The 21666-nt window shown below is 42.2% G+C and overlaps 1 protein-coding gene and 1 pseudogene across 19 annotated transcripts in view, besides 2 other annotated features; both read left to right on the top strand.

Annotated features, from left to right (window-relative positions):
• ANKRD26 (ankyrin repeat domain containing 26) overlaps positions 4572–21666 on the top strand; it is a 152913-nt gene continuing 135818 nt past the window's right edge. For all 19 annotated transcript variants that reach the window (XM_017015929.2, XM_047424821.1, XM_017015928.2 and 16 more), the window contains exons 1-5: positions 4572–4981; positions 11267–11381; positions 11544–11717; positions 12554–12660; positions 18457–18527. In XM_017015929.2, the coding sequence (XP_016871418.1) occupies positions 4740–4981; positions 11267–11381; positions 11544–11717; positions 12554–12660; positions 18457–18527 (709 nt within the window). In that variant the 5' untranslated portion in view covers positions 4572–4739. The remainder of the gene's footprint in view (positions 4982–11266; positions 11382–11543; positions 11718–12553; positions 12661–18456; positions 18528–21666) is intronic.
• Positions 4726–4905: a silencer, noted in NCBI's record as "silent region_2243". NCBI's record gives its function as "represses an Ori minimal core promoter by ATAC-STARR-seq in GM12878 lymphoblastoid cells {active_cell/tissue: GM12878}" and the evidence as "EXISTENCE:reporter gene assay evidence [ECO:0000049][PMID:35858748]".
• Positions 5076–5135: an enhancer, noted in NCBI's record as "active region_3179". NCBI's record gives its function as "activates an Ori minimal core promoter by ATAC-STARR-seq in GM12878 lymphoblastoid cells {active_cell/tissue: GM12878}" and the evidence as "EXISTENCE:reporter gene assay evidence [ECO:0000049][PMID:35858748]".
• Positions 16639–16745, top strand: RNU6-490P (RNA, U6 small nuclear 490, pseudogene; annotated as a pseudogene).

The raw sequence follows: 21666 nt of genomic DNA, 5'->3' as shown, positions 1-21666 counted from the left end.
GCCCCTGGTACTCCAGAAGGGCGTTTGCTGTTTGCTCGATGACTGTGGACCAGCTCTGGCCTTGGCAACCACACCTTCTCCAAGGACATCTGAATCCCCAGCCTTGTGAAGCCACTCATTTTAAGTTGTTCATACTTTGGGTGTAATCTCATCCTAAAGGATTCTTTAGATTTTTCTTTTCACTTTTATACTACTGTTACAGTTAATAATAATTTTTCTTTGAGATGCGGTCTTTTTTTTTTTTTTTGAGATGGAGTCTCACTCTGTTGCCAGGCTGGAGTGCAATGGCGCAATCTCAGCTCACTGCAACCTCTGACTCCCTGGTTCAAGCAATTCTCCTGCCTCAGCCTCCCGAGTAGCTGGGATTACAGGAATGCACCACCACACCCAGCTAATTTTTGTATTTTTAGTAGAGATGGGATTTCACCGTGTTGGCCAGGCTGGTCTCGAACTCCTGACCTCGTGATCCACCCACCTCGGTCTCCCAAAGTGCTGGGATTACAGGTGTGAGCCACTATGCCCGGCCCGAGATGGGTCTTGCTATATTCCCCAGGCTGGTCTCAAACTCCTGTGCTCAAGTGATCCTCCTGCCTTAGCCTCCCAAGAAGCTGGAACTACAGGTATGTGCCACTGAGCCTGGATAATTTTTTTTTTTTTTTTTTTTTTGAGATGGAGTCTTGCTATGTTACCCAGGCTGGAGTGCAGAGGCACGATCTCAGCTCCCTGCAACCTCTGCCTCCTGGGTTCAAGCGATCCTCCCACCTCAGCCTCCTGAATAGCTGGGATTACAGCCATGCAACACCATGCCTGGCTAATTTTTTTGTATTTTTAGTAGAGACAGGGTTTCACCATGTTTGCCAGGCTGGTGTTGAACTCCTAACCTCAAGTGATCCGCCCACCTCAGCCTCCCAAAGTGCTGGGATTACAGGCATGAGCCACCATGTCTGGGCATGGCTAATTTTTTTTTTTTTTTTTTTTTTTGAGACAGTCTTGCTCTGTCATCCAGGCTGGATGGAGTGCAATGGCACAATCTTGGCTCACTGCAACCTCCGCCTCCTGGATTCAAGTTATTCTCCTGCCTCAGCCTCCCGAGTAGCTGGGATTACAGGCGCCTGCCACCACACCTGGCTAATTTTTGTATTTTTAGTAGAGATGGGGTTTCACCATGTCGGCCAGGCTGCTCTCCAACTTCTGACCCCAAGTGATCCACCCACCTCGGTCTCCCAAGGTATGTAATCTCTGCTGGGATTACAGGTGTGAGACACCACGCCCGGCACTGGCCATGGGTAATTTTAAAACACTTTTTGGAGACATGTTCTGGCTATGCTGCCTAGGCTGGTCTCAAACCCCTGGCTTCAAGCCATCTTCATGCCTCAGCCTCCCAAGTAATTGGGATTACAGGCACAAGCTACCATGCCAAACTTCTATAGCAAATAATTATTTGTATTAAATTGTTCTTGTTCAGGTTACTAAGTGGTTTCTCTCCTGATTGAAACCTGGCAGACACATTATCTCTTTCTAGGATGTACTTTTTTTTTCTTTCCATCTTCTCCCCTCTCACAAACTCCTGTTTATTCTTTAAGTCTCAGCTTTTAAAATTTAATTTAATTTGATTTTAGAGACAGGGTCTTGCTGTGTTGCCCAGGCTGATCTCGAACTCCTGAGCTCAAGTGATCCGCCAGCCTCAGCCTTTCAAAGTGCTGGGATTACAGGTGTACACCACCATGCCCAGCCCTAAATTTCAGCTTTGACATCACTTCTTCATGTGCCTCTCTCCATGACCTACCACCCTTCTCTTGACATGATTCTATAGGCCCTCTGTGCTCCCCCTTAATGTGGCACTAAACATGAAATTTGCCTCCCTCCCTGAAGTGAAGAATAACACATCTGTTGTTTCCTCACTGACTCTCACAATACCTAGAATAAAGAAGGTTCCCAGAACATGTTTCTGTTTAATGTGGTGGCCTCCTTACTGTGATCATCCCAGGTCTTGGATCTCCAGGAGATACAGGTAGATGGGCCTCAACACACTTGAGCCCTTATGTTCTAATCATGGTTTAATTATAGTTTCATTATTCCTCAATAGACACAGCAGAATGCATGGGAAGACACATTTCAAAGAATGAATGAACCAGTTTTGGAAAAGGGTTTGATGAGTTTCTTGGTAACTCTTAAAAGGAGAAAACACGTGTGACAGCCTTGAACTGGAATTAAAGAGCTTTATCTGGCCAGGCACGGTGGCTCACGCCTGTAATCCCAGCATTTTGGGAGGCCAAGGCGGGCGGATCACGAGGTCAGGAGATTGAGACCATCCTGGCTAACACAGTGAAACCCCGTCTCTACTAAACAAAATACAAAAAGTAGCCGGGTGTGGTGGTGGGCGCCTGTAGTCCCAGCTACTCAGGAGGCTGAGGCAGGAGAATGGTGTGAACCAAGGAGGCGGAGCTTGCAGTGAGCCGAGATATCGTGCCACTGCACTCCAGCCTGGGAGACAGAGCGAGACTTCATCTCAAAAAAAAAAAAAAAAAGAGCTTTATCTAAGGGATTTGCTAAGGCATTCATATCTCAGTTGATTTTCACTATAAAACAAATATTCCCCTAACACATTAATTTCATTGACATAATTATTAAATGAGGGTATAGGAAAACTGAACCAGGGCATTACTTTAGCCTTAGATAGGCATGGGAGTTCCAAGTGACAACTTTCTAGAGGGTGTCTGCTCTGGATCTGAAATTAATTTCCATATGAATGGGAGATCTTAGCTTTCAATGAACTCCAAGAAACTTTTTGGGGATCCAGCATTTGGCTGATGAATTCAACACCTCAGAGCTGGCCTAACATATAGTCCTTGGGTATCTCTGGTCTATACAAAAACACTATAGTCAACCAAATCTCTACAACTTACCTGGAGAGTGGTGTGTGATTCCTATATCCATCCAGACTGGTAATGTCTTTGGCCTTAATTTCAGGCTGCATTAGGAAATGTCAGAGTCCTCTGTTCAGAGTCAGTGTTCTCCACACTTGAGTATTTTTTGTTTGTTTTTGTTTTTGTTTTTTGAGAGAGAGTCGTGGTCTCCATCCAAGAGTCTCCACTCCAGAGGCAGTGGTGTGAACCTCTGCCTCCCAGGTTCAAGTGTTTCTCCTGCCTCAGCCTCCCGAGTAGCTGGGACTACAGGCATGCACCACCACACCCAGCTAATTTTTGTATTTTTAGTAGAGACGGGGTTTCACCACGTTGGCCTGGTCTCGAACTCCTGACCTCAGGTAATCCACCCACCTCGGCCTCCTAAAGTGCTGGGACTTGACTAGCTTCATAGATCACCTTGGGGAGTGTTGAGGAGACAACATAACTTTCTAGCTGGGGTAGTGTAGGAGGAAAATTCTTGGTGACGATAGTGGAAACCACTCTCCCACATCAAAACCATTTGATCTAGCTAAGCTGGAGAGGCCTGAGAAGTGTTGTTTTGTTTTTGCTCATTTCTCACTTGGCAATAAAGACGCCTGTTCTGGGGCCAGCCACCTCCTCCACAAGGGACCCTAGAGCTGTCCAGAGCTATGGAGGTGCATTCCAGCAGCAATTTCTGCTGAGACTCCACTTGACGTCTGCGTTGCTAATTCCAATTTGTTGTCAAATTATTCAATCTAGGCTGGGCGTGGTGGTTCACACCTGTAATCCCAGCACTTTGGGAGGCTGAGATGGGAGCATCATTTGAGCCCTGGAGTCGGAGACCAGCCTGGGCAACATGGTGAGACCCTGTCTCTACAAAAAATGCAAAAATAGCCGGGCGTGGTGGCTTGCGTCTGTAGTCTCAGCTACTCACTCAGGAGGCTGAGGTGGGAGTATCGTTGAGCCCAGGAGGTGGAGACTGCAGTGAGCCGTGATTGCACCACTGCACTACAGTCTGGGCGACAAAGCGAGACTCTGTTGGGGAAAAAAAAAAAAAAAAGAAGAAAGAGATGTAACCTTGGAAAATCAAAAGCAAAAAATAAAACATAAGGCTGGGCCAAAGGCAGAGGGGTGGGGGAAGGAGGCATGCAGAAATGCGTTCTCATTTCTTCTGGAGAATGTGCATTGGTTTCTCCTCGTAAGTTTGCACTTGACACATATTGCCACGATCTCCGAAATCCTGTGCCCTCTGCACTTGACACATATGCCACGATCTCCGAAATCCTGTGCCCTCTGTTGTTGCATCTGTTAAGTTCTCATGGAGACCAGATGGCACCCAAAGGGACATGGAAGGGGAATAAACTGAGAGATAGGGAGATTCAGAGAGTTTCTTAGGGGAGTTTTCTCGGAGAAGAGGCTTTCAGCATCTTAAAACTCCACGCTACTCCAGTCCCAGTCATGCGTAAAGGCTGCTTCCCCACAGGCGCGAGGCTTCTTTTCGCAAACGTCCTGAACACTCAGCCAGACTCCCACCGACATTTGTTTGACAGGAACGCAGGGCTCGTCCCAGTCGCCGAGATTTGCGAGGTCTGGGCCTTGCACATGCGCATGGAGCACACTTGACCACTGGGCCTTCGTGCGCACGCGCGTGGACCTTGCCATCTGAGGTGCGCATGCGCACTTGTGTCTAGCGGGATCGCTTGCTTGGTAACCCGGAGGGAGAGATTGGAAACCGCGGAGTTTCCTTTGGGAGGCTGCGGCCAGCCGGGGCTGACTTGTTATGTTGGGCTCCGGAGGCCGTTAAGAGCCGAGAGAGACATGAGGTGTCTCTGAAGCCCGGTCGCCTGGGCCATGAAGAAGATTTTTAGTAAGAAGGGCGAGTCGCCCTTGGGCTCCTTCGCGCGGCGGCAGAGGAGCAGCGCGGGAGGCGGGGGCGAGCCGGGGGAGGGCGCCTACTCGCAGCCCGGCTACCACGTCCGAGACCGAGATCTCGGCAAGATCCACAAAGCTGCCAGCGCGGGTAATGTGGCGAAAGTGCAGCAGATCCTTTTGCTCAGGAAGAATGGCTTGAACGATAGAGACAAGATGAACAGGTAATAGGCGTCGCAAGCCCGGACTGAGTGCCACTGGAGTAGGCGGGCAGGAAGAGGGGCCCCTTTTGTGGGAGCCACCCAGGGCCTGGATCAGCCTCCCGCGGGCTCCGTAGCCCCTGGGACGGTGACACCTTGCAGGGCTCCAGCGCCCAGGCCGCCTTTCTGAGCAGAAAAACAAAAACAGAACTCTAGCTGGTTTCCGATCCCCCCGAAATCCCTTAGAGAGCACTTAAGTGACAATTTTAAAGTGAATTAACGAACAAAAGCACGTACAGCGTTTTATTTTTAATGTACACATTTAAGATACAATGTCATACACTTATGGAAAGGTGCATAATGAGATAAGCAGTTTCCATAATATAGCAACTTCTGGGTTAAAAATTATTTCTATAAAATCTGTTATTCGTCAGGCGCGGTGGCTCGCGCCTGTAATCACAGCACTTCGGGAGGCTGAGGCGGGAGGATTGCTTGAGGCCAGGAGTTCAAGGCCAGCCTGGGCATTATAGCGAGACCCCCCCCCCCAACTCTAATAGTCTCAGCTACTTGGAAGGCTGAGGCAGGAGCATCACTTGAGCCCAGGAGTTCTAGGCTGCAGTGAGGTATGTCAGTGACAACAGAGCAAGACCCTATCTTTCAAAAAGAAAAAGAAATAAAATGCCTTTAGGAAATAGATATACAAGTAATTTGTTTTTCTCAGCATTGCTTAAGCAGTGTATTAAGGAGAACCCATAGAATGGATTTTGTGAATAAATGTCAGTGCATGATAATATGTGACCATTGAAAGTGGCAGTAGAGGCCAGGCGTGGTGGCTCGCGCCTGTAAACCCAGCATTTTAGGAGACCAAGGCAAGCGGATATCCTGAGGTCAGAAGTTCGAGACCAGCTTGGCCAACATGGTGAAACCCCGTCTCTACTAAAAATACAAAAATTAGCTAGGCATGGTGGTGGGAGCCTGTAATCTCAGCTACTCCGAAGACTGAGGCAGGAGAATCGCTTGAACCTGGGAGGCAGAGGTTGCAGTGAGCCAAGATCGTGCCATTGCACTCCAGCCTGGGCAACAAGAGCAAAACTCTGTCTCAAAAAAAAGAAAGAAAGAAAAGAAAGTGGCAATAGATACAGAAGTGTATTGGCATGTGAGGATATACTTTGGTATCTCAAGTGAGAAAAAAAGTTTGATTATACATACAGACTGTGGTCTTGTGTTAGCTGAAAATATGTACAAAACGTGGTAAAATTTGGCCAGGCGCGGTGTCTCACGCCTGTAATCCCAGCACTTCGGGAGGCCGAGGCGGGCGGATCACGAGGTCAGGAGATCGAGACCATCCTGGCTAACACAGTGAAACCCCGTTTCTACTAAAAATACAAAAAAATCAGCCGGGCATGGTGGCGGGCGCCTGTAGTCCCAGCTACTCCGGAGGCTGAGGCAGGAGAATGGCGTGAACCCGGGAGGCGGAGCTTGCAGTGAGCGGAGATCACGCCACTGCACTCCAGCCTGGGCGACAGAGCAAGACTCCGTCTCAAAAAAAAAAAAAAGTGGTAAAATTTGTTATTTCTGGGCATTTGTATAATAAGTCAAACTTTTTTCTTTATGATTTCTGCAATGAGTATGTATAAAAGTTCTAGTGAAAATTTATTATTAATGAAGTAATCCTTGGGAAGAGAGGAATATGAATCTTGCACAGATAAAAATCATTTCCCACTTTCTTTTTTTTCTTTTTTTGGTGGATTGCTATCGTCTGACAACTTTTATCCTTTTCAGAAGTAAAGGGGATCTTGGCTGGGCACCTGTGGCTCATGACTGTAATCCCAGCACTTTGGGAGGCCCAGGCAGGAGGATTGCTTGACCCAGGAGTTCGAAACTAGCCTGGGCAACATAGCAAGACCCTGTCTCTATTAAAAATGAAAGGTAAAGCAGATCTTTGTTCTTGCCACCAAAAATTAAGAAGATAAAAAATAAAAATAAAAAAAGAAAAAGTAAAGGGTATCTTTTTATCTGTATTTATAGATTTTATGTATACATTTTATCATATACATGTTTTTATTATAGATTTATTATATATGCAAACAGGTACAATCATTTTATTTTAGTTGTGTCCTTATGACAATAAAAATACCAAATATAAATGATAATTAGGCTGGATGCAATGGCTTAGGCCTGTAATCCCAGCACTTTGGGAGGCTGAGGAGGGTGGATCACTTAAGTCCAGGAATTCAAGACCATCCTGGCCAACGTAGTGAAACCCTTCTGTAGTAAAAATACAAATATTAGCCAGGTGTGGTGGTACACACCTGTAGTCTCAGGTACTTGGGAGACTGAGGCAGGCAGTAGAATAGCGTGCACCTGGGAGGCGGAGGGTACAGTGAGCTGAGATTGCACCACTGCAATCCACCCTGGGTGACAGAGCGAGACTCCATCTCAAAAAAACAAAACAAAACAAAACAAAAAAAAGATAAATATTATTGCAAAAGAATAAAAGAATTACTCTACTTTATAAGAATTTTATTTAAAAATATTGAACTCCCTAATGATTTTTCCATTCTTTCAATCCATTTATTCATCAATCATAACCTGAATACCTGTTATGTAGCAGACATAGTCTACTATCTCTTTTTTCTTTTTTTCTTAGACAGAGTCTCCCTCTGTTGCCCAGGCTGGAGTGCAGTGGCCAGATCTCAGCTTTACTGCAACCTCTGCTTCCTGGGTTCAAGCGATTCTCCTGCCTCAGTCTCCTGAGTAGCTGGGACAGCTAATTTTTTTTTTTTTTTGTATTTCTAGTAGAGACAGGGTTTCACTGTGTTAGCCAGGGTGGTCTCGATCTCCTGACCTTGTGATCTGCCCACCTCGGCCTCCCAAAGTGCTGAGATTACAGGCTTGAGCCACCGCGCCTGGCCTTTTTTGTTTTTGAGGTGAAGTCTCGCTTCTTCGCCCAGGCTGGAGTGCAATGGTGTGATCTCGGCTCAATGCAACATCCATCTCCTGGGTTCAAGCAATTCTCCTGCCTCAGCCTCCCTAGTAGCTGAGATTCCAGGCACGTGCCACCATGCCTGGCTAATTTTTGTATTTTTAGTATAGATGGGGTTCTACCCTGTTGGCCAGGCTGGTCTCAAACTCCTAACCTCAAGTGATCTGCCTGCCTTGGCCTCCCAAAGTGTTGGGATTACAGGCGTGAACCACCGCTAGTTATAAGCATATTAATGTAAGTGCGTAGTATTTTAATAAAATGTGGTAGAATATAGACTTGATCTTTGAATTGGAAACATAACAGTAGTGGACATGAAGATTTGCAGAGCTGATTTTTTTTTCTTTTTTTTTTTTTTTTGAGATGGAGTCTCGCTCTGTCTCCTGGGCTGGAGTGAGTTGGCATGATCTTGGCTCACTGTAACCTTCTCCTCCCAGGTTCAAGCAATTCTCGTGCCTCAGCCTCCCAAACAGCTGGGATTCCAGGCACCCACCACCATGCCTGGCTATTTTTTTTGTATTTTTAGTAGAGACGGGGTTTCACCACGTTGGCCAAGTTGGTCTCAAACTCCTGACCTCAGGTGATCTGCCTGCCTCAGCCTCCCAAAGTGCTGGGATTACAGGCATGAGCCACTGCACCAGGCCAGAGTTGATATCTTTGAAGTGAGGATTTTACTTCTATGCAAATTCTTTTCTGTCAGAGGTGAATCCCTATTTTAGTCATGAATATGATATTTATTCCCCTTTCACAACAGGAACTTCATATATATGTATATAAGTGCTGTGTGGTGTTCTAAACTATTTCAGTCTTGCATTAGCATTGTAATACATAATGTAGCTAATCTGCTATGAATTTGGGAATGCATTTTATGACAAATTTACAGAGCTGTCAGGGAAGATGGAAAGTTGCTGATTTCTCATATAAAACTGTCTTCATAGAGCTTGATGTGAATCTCCTGCACTTCTGGAAGCAGGTATTTAACTCATCCCCAGGAAATCAAGCCTGAGAGAAGTTCTGGTGAGCTGCTTGGCTCCTGTGTTGAGACTGGTCTGGTCTCTTAGCATTTGTTTTGGCAAAGAATGTTTGGATGTTTATAGAGGACAGATGAGAGCTCTGGTCAAGTATGAGAGCTGTTGGTGGGAGGGAGAATCCATTTGGGATCCCATATGAAAAGTCCTGTTAAGGGTGTGAGCAGGCCTTAGAAGAGGGTAATCCAAAGTGGATCTGTGGATTCCTTAGGAGCTAAGAGGAAAGAAAGGCCAGAGTGGAGTGCATTCATTCAGGTCAAGGCAATTGCAGGTGAAAACATAGTCTACTATCTCTCAGGACCTTTCCATCTTCAAAACCTTTATGTTTGCATACCTGCCCAGCCTGAGCAAGTTGAGAGATTTAAAATTAGACTATTAGGGCAATCTCAATTGAAGCTTTTCCTCCCTCCTCTTATTTATTTATTTTTTTGAGAGGAGATTATGCTCTGACACCCAGGCTGGAGTAAAGTGGCATGATCTCGGCTTACTCCAACTCTGCCACCAGGGTTCAAGTGATTCTCCTGCCTCAGCCCCCTCGAGTAGCTGGGATTACAGGCATGTACCACCATGTCCGGCTACTTTTTGTATTTTTAGCAGAGATGGGGTTTTACCATGTTGGTCAGGCTGATCTTGAATTCCTGACCTCAAGTGATCTGCCTGCCTTGGCTTCCCAAAGTGTTGGGATTACAGGCGTGAGCCACTGCACCCAACCCCTCTTTATAAACAAAAGTGTTTCTGAAGGTAGAAAATTATAAGAAATAACCTTTAATTACCCTTTTGAAAATTTATGTCTTAAACACGAATATTAGTCATTGGAAATATCTGCATATATTCTATAAATCTAAATATTGAATAAAATGAGCCAACCTATTCATTTGAATCCTGAGTTTCTTTTGTGTTGAAGTTTCTTGAAAACACAATAAGAATTACTTTGTTTTAAAAATCTGTTTTTCAATTTTAAAAATGCTTCCAATTATAGTTGTAATAAATCATGAATTACAAGTGGCATTCCAATGTCAGAGATATTGAAATGTGAGAAAATGAGCATCTTAGAATCACTGAAATACTGTGTTATCTCTAATTTTTTTTTTTTTTTTGTAGACAGGGTCTCTCTCTGTTGCCCAGGCTAGAGTACAGTGGCACAATCACAGCTCACTACAGCCTCAACCTCCTGGGCTCAAGCGATTCTTTGGCCTTAGCCTCCTGAGTAGCTGGGACCACAGGTGTTCACCACCATGCCTGGCTACTTTTTAAATTTTTATAGAGATGGAGTCTCACTATGTTGCCCAGGCTGGTCTCAAACTCTTGGACTCAAGCAGTCATCCTACCTCAGCTTCCCAAAGTTCTGGGATTCAGGCATGAGCCGCCATGCCTGGCCTTATCGCTGATCTTTAAAACATACTGTCAACTAGGTATAATTGTATCATTTCATTTAATTAAAACATCTTTATTAAACAGTAGTAATGGTAATTATATCTAACAATTATTGAGCTGTTATTTGTGCTAGGAACTGTTCTAAACATTTTGCATAGATTCTCATGTAAGCATCCCAGTGGTGTCCTATGAGATAGCTACTATTTTGATCCCCATTTTATTGATGAGGAAACTGAGGCACTTACTAAGCCATAATGAGTAAGTGACAGCTTAAAGTAGGATTCAACCCCAAGTTGAACTGAATCTAAAGGTCAAGCCTTTTCTATTCAGATAGGTTGCTCTTTCATTAATGTGGTGAGTAGTAAGAGCTAATAAATATTGTACTGTTTTCAGAAGAAAATTAAATACTTGTTTTGAAGGCGGAGGATTAACATGTGTATTAGTCTGTTCTCATGCTGCTAATAAAGACATACCCTTTATTATATGGGTAATTTATAAAGGAAAGAGGTTTAATTAACTCACAGTTCAGCCTGGTTGGGGAGGCCTCAGGAAACTTAACAATAAGGGCAGAAGGAGAAGCAAACATGTCCTTGACATGGTGTCAGCAAGGAGAAGTGCCAAGCAAAAGAGGGAAAAGCCCCTTAAGAAACCATCAGATATTGTGAGAACTCACTATCACAAGAGCAGCAGCACGGGGGAACCATCCTCGTGATTCAGTTACCTCCCACTGAGTCCCCCTCACCACACGTAGGGATCATGGGAACTACAATTTGGGATTTGGTTGGGGACACAGCCAAGATGAGATTTGGGTGGGGACACAGCCAAACCATATCAACATGCTATTTAATGTTTATAATTTTATGAACCATTGTATGTTTTGAGACAGTGCACTACAGTTTATAAAAAGTCCTGTCACTCTCATAGGACGGCTCTACATTTGGCCTGTGCCAATGGTCATCCAGAAGTAGTAACTCTCCTGGTGGACAGAAAATGCCAGCTCAATGTCTGTGACAACGAAAACAGGACAGCTCTGATGAAGGTATATAGTAGCCAGCTCTTTCAGCATCAGATGGATTTGACTTAAATACATAGAATGAAAATGAATTTATCTCATTAAAATATAACTAATTGGTGAAACCTGTGGAGTGTTTATTTTGCATTCCTAGAATTTATGATCTGTTTCTTGGTCTAATACTCCCAGGCTGTACAATGCCAGGAAGAGAAATGTGCAACTATTCTGCTAGAACATGGTGCTGATCCAAATCTTGCGGATGTCCATGGCAACACTGCTCTTCACTATGCTGTCTATAATGAGGACATATCAGTAGCAACAAAGCTGCTTTTGTATGATGCAAATATTGAAGCAAAAAACAAGGTATAGATCAACCAACTTTATTTTTACAGTATTTGAAATGCGTTTGTTTCAACAGTGACATATGTAAGGGTTAGTTTTCTGTATTTGGAAGCGCAAGCATTCCCTGACTGAAAGTATTTTAAAATAACTTAATTGTCTAAGATTTTACTTTAAATGTTGATACTTTTAAAGAAGCATTAGGCAGTACACCTTTCTTTTATGCATTTATTGTAAATACTTGTGAAAACACAATTTGTTAAAGGCAAATCTTTTTTTTTTTTGAGACAGAGTCTTGCTCTGTCTCCCAGTCTAAAGTGCAGAGGCGCGATCTCGGCTCACTGCAACCTCTGCCTCTGCCTCCCGGGTTCAAGCAATTCTCCTGCCTCAGCCTCCTGAGTAGCTGGGATTACAGGTACCCACCACCATGCCCAGCTAATTTTTGTATTTTTAGTAGAGATGGGGTTTTGCCATGTTGGCCAGGCGGGCCTCGAACTCCTGACCTCAGGTGATCCACCCGCCTCAGCCTCTCAAAGTGCTGATATTACAGGTGGGAGCCACTGTGCTCAGCCTAGAAGCTCTTGGTTTTGATGGGAAACAATACAATGAATACAATATGCCATGCCAAATGATGTGATAGAAGCAAATATTCTTAGAACCGGTAAAAATTTGAAGTGAGTTTTGGAGATGAGTGGAGTTCATGTGGTGAGGCAGAGGAGGGGTGTTTCCAAGGGAAGCAAGTGTTTTTTATTTGTTTTCTATTTTATATGTTTCAGTTCAAAGGATCTGACATAGAGTTTTCAGTTCAGCCGAGAATTATGTAATTTTATGCATTTTAACTTGTTTTTGCTGTCTTACAGGATGACCTCACACCACTTTTACTTGCAGTAAGTGGAAAAAAGCAGCAAATGGTGGAATTTTTAATAAAGAAAAAAGCAAATGTAAATGCAGTAGATAAGTTGGAAAGGTACAGTAGCTGGTTTTGTTTTGGATTTTTAAACTTGTATGTTTAAAAGTTTTTTTAGATCTGTGTTTTGCATGTTACAGGTTTTTTAAACCTGCTTGTTCTTGAGGGGCAACAGTGATTCGTTGGTGTTTCTCACTCAAGTCAGAAATATTAATTTAATAAGAAGGTTAACATAATTATGGGGATATAGTGACAAATAGCAACACAAATCAGTTAGGAAGAAAAGCAGTTGCTTGGATTGGGCAATATAAAAGAAGACTATACAGTAGGATTCATCTTCTCTTATAATATTGACTGATGTTTGTTATTTGTAAACCCATGTTTTTGGCCATGTGATCTGTTAGCTAAAGAGGTTTCTTATCAGTTTTATTAGTTTTATAAAATGCGGACTTTAACTTTTAGTTTACTTTTTTTTTTTTTTACATGGAGTCTCCCCCGTCACTCAGGCTAGAGTGCAGTGGCGCAATCTCAGCTCACTGCAACCTCCACCTCCTGGGTTCAAGCGATTCTCCTGCCTCAGCCCCCTGAGTAGCTGGGATTACTGGTGCACACCACCACACCTGACTAATTTTTGTATTTTTAGTAGAGATGGGGTTTCATCATGTTGGTCAGGCTGGTCTTGAACTCCTGACCTCGTGATCCACCCGCCTTGGCCTTCCAAAGTACTGGGATTACAGGCATTAAGCCACTGCGCCCGGCCACTTTTTAACTCAATATTGAACTTCTTCACCCTTTTATGGTATTGTTCTAACCTCTGCTTATGTACTTTTCCTTCAGAAATGCTGTGTTAAACATCAATAGCAGTTTTTGTCTTTTGAGTGCCTCTTTGCTTTAAGTTGCTTTCTTTGAAGAGTACGGATGTTAGGTTATCCCTAGGTGATTGTTGATCGCTATTGCCAGATACTATAGTTTCATTATTTTTTTCCTTTTCTATTTCTAGTATATTTTGATGTTTTTATTTTTAATTGGTATGGGCAAAGGGAAGAAAGACAGCTTTTATTGGATAAACTTTTCCTTTATTGAAGACAAGCCATAGATGGGTGATAAAGAGAAAAGAGGCTTTAAATTCACACGAGACTGGATTTAATTCCTTGCTTTCCCACTTGTTAAGTGTGTAAGCTTGGGGACCTTACTTATCACCAAATATGTTTTCTGATATAAAAAGGGGGATACTAAATATATCTCAAGGTGGTTGTATTTAAATAAGATTATATAGCATTTGATTCAGTGCCTAGCCCACGCTTATCAGCATCATTGGCTGAAACTACTGTGACTCCTATTATTACCTTTATTATTATTATTATTATTATTTGAGACAGGGTCTGGCTCTGTCACGGGCTGGAGTGCAATGGTGTGATGTTGGCTCCCTGCAACCTCTGTCTCTTGGGCTCAAGCAATCCCCCTGCCTCAGCCTCCTGAGTAGCTGGGACTACAGGCATGTGCCACCACATCCAGCTAATTTTTGCATTTTTTGTAGAGATGGGATTTCCCCATATTACCCAGGCTGGCCTCAAACTCCTGGACTGTAGTGATCCACCCATCTTGGCCTCCCAAAGTGCTTAGATTATAGGCATGAGCTGCTGCACCTGGCTACCATTATTATTAATACTGTTTTAAGCCTGCAGATAGCTCTTATCTGACCCCTAGCTGACTGCAATTGTAATATATCAGACTAGAGAAGAAATGGAGAATTCTTCATTTAAATCTTTGCCTACTTTAGATAAGTAAACTCAGCATAGGTTTTTGCCATGAAAGGACTTCTAGTATGTAATACCCCAGTGAGACAAGAGGCCTCTTTTTTGTCCCTTCCTTTTAGCCTTGGTGGTAATTTACAAAGATGAGCACTTGAGCACCCAAGATGCTTATGTCTATTAGTAGATGTAAATAGTTAATTCTACACAGACAGGCAAGATACTAAATTGGTAAAGTATATCAAATTATCTGTGCACATAACCTTATTAAAGTTCCTGGGGTGAAATTACCTCTTATTTTATTTTTATTTATTTATTTTTTGAGATGGAGTCTTGCTCTGTTGCCCAGGCTGGAGTGCAGTGGCACAGTCGGCTCACTGCAACCTCTACCTCCCGGGTTTAAGCATTTTCTGGCTAATTTTTGTATTTTTAGTAGAGATGGGGTTTCACTGTGTTGGCCAGGCTGGTCTCGAACTCCTGACTTCAAGTGATCCACCCGCTTTGGCCTCCCAAAGTGCTAGGATCACAGGCATGAGCCACCATGGCTGGCCATATCTCTCTTATTTTAGAACACCCCTCATGCCCACTATATTTTATGAATCATCAAGTATAGTCAGGCTTTTTGTTCAGCAGAGTTTTGATGTTTTTTCTTAATATGTCTAGGGATGGACTACAGAAAAATATGCTGTTGTTAGTGGTTTAGTATGTAAATGTTTACAATAAAAGGCTAGTTAACACTAAATAGAGGTTTAAAATAATTATCATGATTGCATCTTATACATCAGTTGAGATTTCATAGTTTGGGTCAGGTAATTTTAGAATGGCAGTGAATTAGCCTACTTCATCAGCCAGAAATCAAGCAAAAGGCTAGACTAGTTAGAAGCAGCAATGCATGTAGGATTCTTTTTGTTTTGTTTTGTTTCTGAGACAGGGTCTCACTCTGTCACCTGGGCTGGAGTGCAGGGGCACGATCACAGGTCACCACAGCTTCAAGCCGTGGGCTAAGGAGATTCTCCCACCTCAGCCTCCCAAGTAGCTGGGACTACAAGCACATACCACCATGCCCGGCTAATTTTATGTATTTTTTGTAGAGATGAGTTTTGCCATGTTGCTTAGGGTGGTCTCAAACTCCTAGGCTCAAGCAATCCATCAACCTTGGCTTTCCAAAGTGCTGGAATTATAGGCATGAGCCACTGTGTCCAACCGGGTATAGAATTTTTTTATCTCAGGACTTTTACGAACTTAATCCATAGGGGTCCCAATATCATTCATTTCATTCCAATTATAACCCCTATGCATGGGATAAAAAATACTATCACATGTTTAATTTTTCTAGTTGGTTATTTGAGTCTTGAAATGTCCAGTTTGGCAGATAATCTTGAACTGTCCCCCTGGGGGCCATCTGCTATGCCCTCTGCCTTGAATTTTTCAGGAACCGAAGGGGTTCCTTAAGTCCAAGGAAGACAGTCCTCTTTTATAAATCAGGAGGGGACAAAGGACATTCTAATCATTCTTTTGTTACCAGTGATTTTGTTGCTGCATTGTTGCCACTGAGACTGGTCCTGCAGTCTGGAAATGATTGACCTTTGCTACAAGGATGCTCTTACTGATTGAGATCCCTCAGCCTTCATGGTGATCCATAGGTAGACTTCAAAGTTAGGACTTTTTTTCAGTTCACATACAAGTGTTTATATGCCCAGCCATTGTTCCTAAAGCACCAGCACCCTGCTCTGGCAGCTGGCCTCCTGGAAGCTTTAGCCACACACAGAGTGAGCAAATTGACCCTTCCACCTACACTCAAAACCTTATATGGAGACCATATCTTAGCCTTGACTTAGCCTTGACCTTCATGGTAAGTTACCCATGGAGGCTTTTGTTTGTCTTTTCTCTAGCAAATATTAGTTGGGATTGTTCTCAACTGTCAGGTTCAAATAATGTTGCAGGAAGAGATCAGAGTTTCTTTTTTTCTTTGCTACCAGGAATGTACTCCAAAGCCCCTTTACATTCTGTGTAGCACATTTTCTTAGGTAGTGAAAGGTTCCATATTGTCCTTCGCTGGAGTAGTGGCCACCAACTTGTGGTTGACCCCTAAAGTGATCTGTTTTTCATAATGAAAATCTCCCAAGCTGCTTGCATCTCTACCTTAAGTTTTTAAAATATTTTCAGATTGTACCTCACAAGGAAGCCATTCAACAGAATTCTCTGAGCGTAAAGTAGGTTAGTTGGATTGAACAGAGCTAAGCCTGTTCCATGACTCATCAGTATCCATGTATAAAAGTCGGGTTTTGTGCTTGCTTCAGCAGCACATATACTAAAATTTGAACAATGTAGAGAAGATCAGCATGGCCCCTGTATAAAGATGACACACACATTCTTGAAGCGTTCCATATTTTGCACAGTCCCTGGAAGGCCATTTTACTATTTGCTAACAGTGTGAGTCAAAGCAAAAGGGTGGCACCCAGTATTGAAATTGTGATTTTCATGACAAAAATATTCATGTAAGGTGATCTGTGAAATGAGAATGGAGCTAACACATGGGATGTTACGTGCAAATATGTTGTTAGTAGGTATCACAGAAATGAGAAAATGTCAATTCACATCTCCTTCATGGAACTTAAAATAAAAGTGAGGCCAGGTGCAGTGGCTCACGTCTTTAATTCCAGCACTTTGGGAGGCACAGGCAGGAGAATTGCTTGAGGCCAGGAGTTCAAGACCAGCCTGGGCAACATAGCAAGACCCCATTGGTACAAAAAATAATGAAGAAAAATTAGCCAGGTGTGATGGTGTGCACCTGGAGTCCTAGCTACTCGTGGGGCTGAGGCAGGAGGATTGCTTGAGCCCAGGAGTTCCAGGCGGCAGTGGATTATGACCATGCCACTGCACTCCATCTTGGGTGATAGAATACCTTGTCTCTAAATAAAAGTAGAGTTTTGTTTTCCACGTCAGTTGGAATGATGAACATGAAGATTAAGCACCGTTCTAACAAAGATCTGCTGGTTCAGAGTTTGAGGAGGTAGAGAAGCAAAAGTCGTTGTCTAAACCAGGCCTTAACATCTGTTAGTTTTCTGCCCTTGCTGTGATCAGTTAGTTCAGTAATAAGGGACAATTATGTTATCTAATTTAATGAGATGCTATATTTATAAGTGAATTCAGTTACAAATTATGAAATTCACTGGGATTGGAAACCACAAAGAATAGAATAACTAATAACCAAAATTAGGACTTAGTAACATTTTCTGAAAATGGCAACATTTGAATATTAGAACCTTTGGAGAAACATTTAATTGGGTTTTATTTGGGATTCCAAAATAGTTTTAGCAATAAAATTCAGGAACAAATTATTCCATTTCTTTACTATTTCTCTGAGCATTTGAAAAGTGTTATCTTGTTAAATCTTTATAACCCTAGTGAAATAAGGCAGTAAAATCCTTATGTTTTAGAAGAAGATGTTGAGCCTAAGGGAAGCCTCTTGTCCAAGAACAAATAGCTGTTGGTTACAGAGCCAGGACTTCTTCTGGGTTCAGGACACTTTCCATTATGTCAAGCTAACTCTAGTTAATTTGCTGAGCTCCACTGCCCTCACTTCATAACTATTTCACTTTAATCTTTTTCTCCTTTAATTTGAAGCTTAATAAGAAGTTTGGGCTGGGTGCAGTGGTTCACGCCTGTAATCCCAGCACTTTGGGAGGCCAAGGCAGGCAAATCATGAGGTCAGGAGTTCAAGACCAGCCTGGCCAACATGGTGAAACCCTGTCTCTACTAAAAATACAAAAAAATTAGCTGAGCGTAGTGACGGGTACCTGTAATCCCAGCTATTCAGGAGGCTGAGGCAGGAGAATCACTTGAACCCGGGAGGCGGAGGTTGCAGTGTGCCAATATCATACCACTGTACTCCAGCCTGGGTGACAGAGTAAGACTCTGTCTCAAAAAAAAAAAAAAAAAAAAACAAAAAAGTTTGTAGAGCTTACATATTTGAAGTGTATGGGATAATTAAAATTCTGCTGTTAGCTCTGATAATGGCTGAAATACTCAAGATTTTGAGATATTTGGTAAATATTTTTTGTATCAGTATTAACATAATTTTGTTACATTTTTCTATACATAGCAGTCACCAACTAATTTCAGAATATAAAGAAGAAAGGATACCTAAACATTCTTCTCAAAATAGTAATTCAGGTAAGACTTCCAATAGTGAATTTCTCTTGGTAATAGTACCATGGATAAAAAAGTAAAAGTAAGGAAGTGTTGATCACAGAAAAGCAGTTTTAAAAATCAGTGTATAAGGTGCATGTGTATTTTTTCTTAATTTCTCTTGGTAATCTAGAATTCAGAATTATTTAAGAAGTTACATGTAGATATTTATGATGCCAAATGGTACTATCTGAAAAAAATTCATTTACTTAATTATCATCCCTAAATTCCTATATGAAATTTTTGTATAAATAAAAAAGGTGTTTAAGTTAGTATGTTATGTGTTTCCTTTATAATTACATTATAATGAACTAGACTTGTTATAAAAAATGGATCTTCTATTTAATTTTTATAATAAATGGTTTGTGTTTATTAAATGAATATTAATTACAGTTGTCCCTTGAGCAACGTGCATATTAGGACTGGTGATCCCTGTGCAGCTGAAAATCTGCACTAACTTTCAAGTCCCCCAAAACTTAACTACTAATTGCCTACTGTTGACTGCAAGCCTTATGATAATATAAATAGTCAATTAACATGTATTATGTATATGTATTATATAATGTATTGTAGTAAAGTAAGCTACAAGAAAGAAATTATGATTAAGAAAATCATTAAAGAAGAAGAAATGTATTTACTACTCATTGAGTGGAAGTTGATTATCATAGAGGTCTTCATCCTGGTTGTCATCATGTTGAGTAGGCTGAGAAATAAGAGGAAGATGAGAGGTTGGTCCTGCTGTCTTGGGGTGGCAGAGATGAAGAAAATCCACATATAGGTGGATTTGTGCAGTTCAAACCTATATTGTTCAAGGGTCATTACATAGTGATTTGGGTCACTAAAAATTAACTATCTTTAAAAGGGGGAACTCAACAGTACCTTTCTGGTACCATAAACAAATGGCAATAAGAACTGCAGAACTTAGCCAGTGTGCACCAATACCAATAGGAAATTATTTTTTAAAGATACTGAATACAGAAGTCAGAAAAACAATTCCTTGTTGAGAAGCACAAGTCATGTTACTTATTCTTATACCAACAAAATCTTATTATTACTGACTTTATTCAGCCTAAGTTGAAATAGAATGAGATACATTTACTTCGTTAGAACAAGATGTGTTCTTCTGGCCAGGTGCGGTGGCTCACGCCTGTAATCCCAGCACTTTGAGAGGCCGAGGCGGGTGGATTATGAGGTCAGGAGTTCGAGACCAGCCTGGCCAACATGGTGAAACCCCGTCTCTACTAAAAATACAAAAATTAGCTGGGCGTGGTGGCGCACACCTGTAACCCCAGCTACTCAGGAGGCTGAGGCAGGAGAATGGCTTGAACCTGGGAGGCAGAGGTTGCAGTGAGCCGAGATTGTGTCACTGCACTCCAGCCTGGGTGACAGAGCGAGACTCCATCTCAAAAAAAAAACAAACAAAAAAAACAAGTGTGTTCTTCTGTCTGCTGAATAATTGTCATGATAACAGTAATCTTGCTAGAATGAAACACTCTGTTATCATTAGCCAAAAGATTATCATAATGAATATTCAAATATCTCAACTCTGCGCTCAACAAATTATAATGAAAGTACAAAAATGTCCAATGGGAGACTCTAAAAAAAAACAGGAAAAAAAAAGTAAGTACAGAAATTTTTTTTTTTTTTTTTTGAAATGGAGTTTCACTCTTGTTGCCCAGGCTGGAGTGCAATAATGGTGCGATCTCGGCTCACTGCAACATCCGCCTCCTGGGTTCAAGCAATTCTTTTGCCTCAGCCTCCCAAGTAGCCAAGATTACAGGTGCCCGCCACCATGCCCAGCCAATTTTTATATTTTTAGTTGAGATAGGGTTTTACCATGTTGGCCAGGCTGATCTTGGAACTCCTGAACTCAGGACATCTGCCCGCCTTGGCCTCCCAAAGTATTGGGATTACAGGCTTGAGACACCGCACCTGGCCAGAAATGTTTCGCCATAACAAAAATGCTACTATGCTACCTGGATGTGACACCAAATGCATTTTATAATCTGAACTGCATGAAGACACATTTAATTTGGTACATATTTATCAAAGAACTTTCATAGGTTAGGTTTTGCAAGTTGCAAGAAATATGAATATGGAACAGATTAGTTTTGGTCTTCAAAGTTTTCATAATAGAATAGAGCTGTTCTATTTCATTTGTGTTTTTTCAATGAAAGTATTTTAATTGATTTCTATAATTGTTTACTTAGCAAATAACTGTCAAGTATCTTTTAGATACTAAGCATTTTTCTAACGTTACAGAATGCAAACATTTTATTTCTTTTTTCTTTTTTTTTTTTTTTTTGAGATGTAGTTTTGCTCTTGTTGCCCAGGCTGGAGTGCAGTGGTGTGATCTTGGCTAGGCTCACTGCAACCTCCGCCTTCTGGGTTCAAGCGATTCTCCTGCCTCAGCCTCCTGAGTAGCTGGGATCACAGGTGCGTGCTACCATGCCTGGCTACTTTTTGTACTTTTAGTAGAGACGGGGTTTCTCCATGTTGCTCAGGCTGGTCTTGAACTCCTGGCCTCATGTTCTGCCCGCCTCAGCCTCCCAAAGTGCTGGGATAACAGGCATGGGCCACTGCACCCGGCCTAGGTGCTATGCAACTTAGGTCATAGCTATGCAACCCTGCCATTGTAATGTGAAAGCAGTCATAAATAATATGTAAGTGAATAACATGACTGTGCTTCCGTAAACCTTTATTTACAAAACCGTATGGCTGGCTGGATTTGGCTTGTGGCCTCTAGTTTGCTGGCCTCTTATATACAGGATAGATGGAAGGTAACCATGTAAAGGGATTGGGAAACAAGGAAGCTTTTGCAGTAGTTAAAGCCATAGTTTTTTTGTCACTAATCCTTGGACTAGTATTTATCCATTATGAGGTTCTCACCATCCATGGTGAAATACATAAAGTTAGGAAGCTCAGTTTATTAATTTTATTTTATTTCATTTTATTTATTCTTTTAGAGATGAGGTCTCACTATGTTAGGCCAGGCTGGTCTCAAACTCCTGGCCTGAAGTGATCCTCCTGCCTTGGCCTCCCAAAGTGCTGGGATTATAGGCATGAGGCACCATACCTGGCCAGTTTATTTATTTTAAAATGTTGGTCTTTTTCTTCATGTTAT

Source organism: Homo sapiens, chromosome 10 (genome assembly GCF_000001405.40).
Source record: "Homo sapiens chromosome 10, GRCh38.p14 Primary Assembly".
NCBI classification, from domain to species: Eukaryota; Metazoa; Chordata; class Mammalia; order Primates; family Hominidae; genus Homo; species Homo sapiens.
This window is presented reverse-complemented; position numbering and strand designations above follow the sequence as displayed.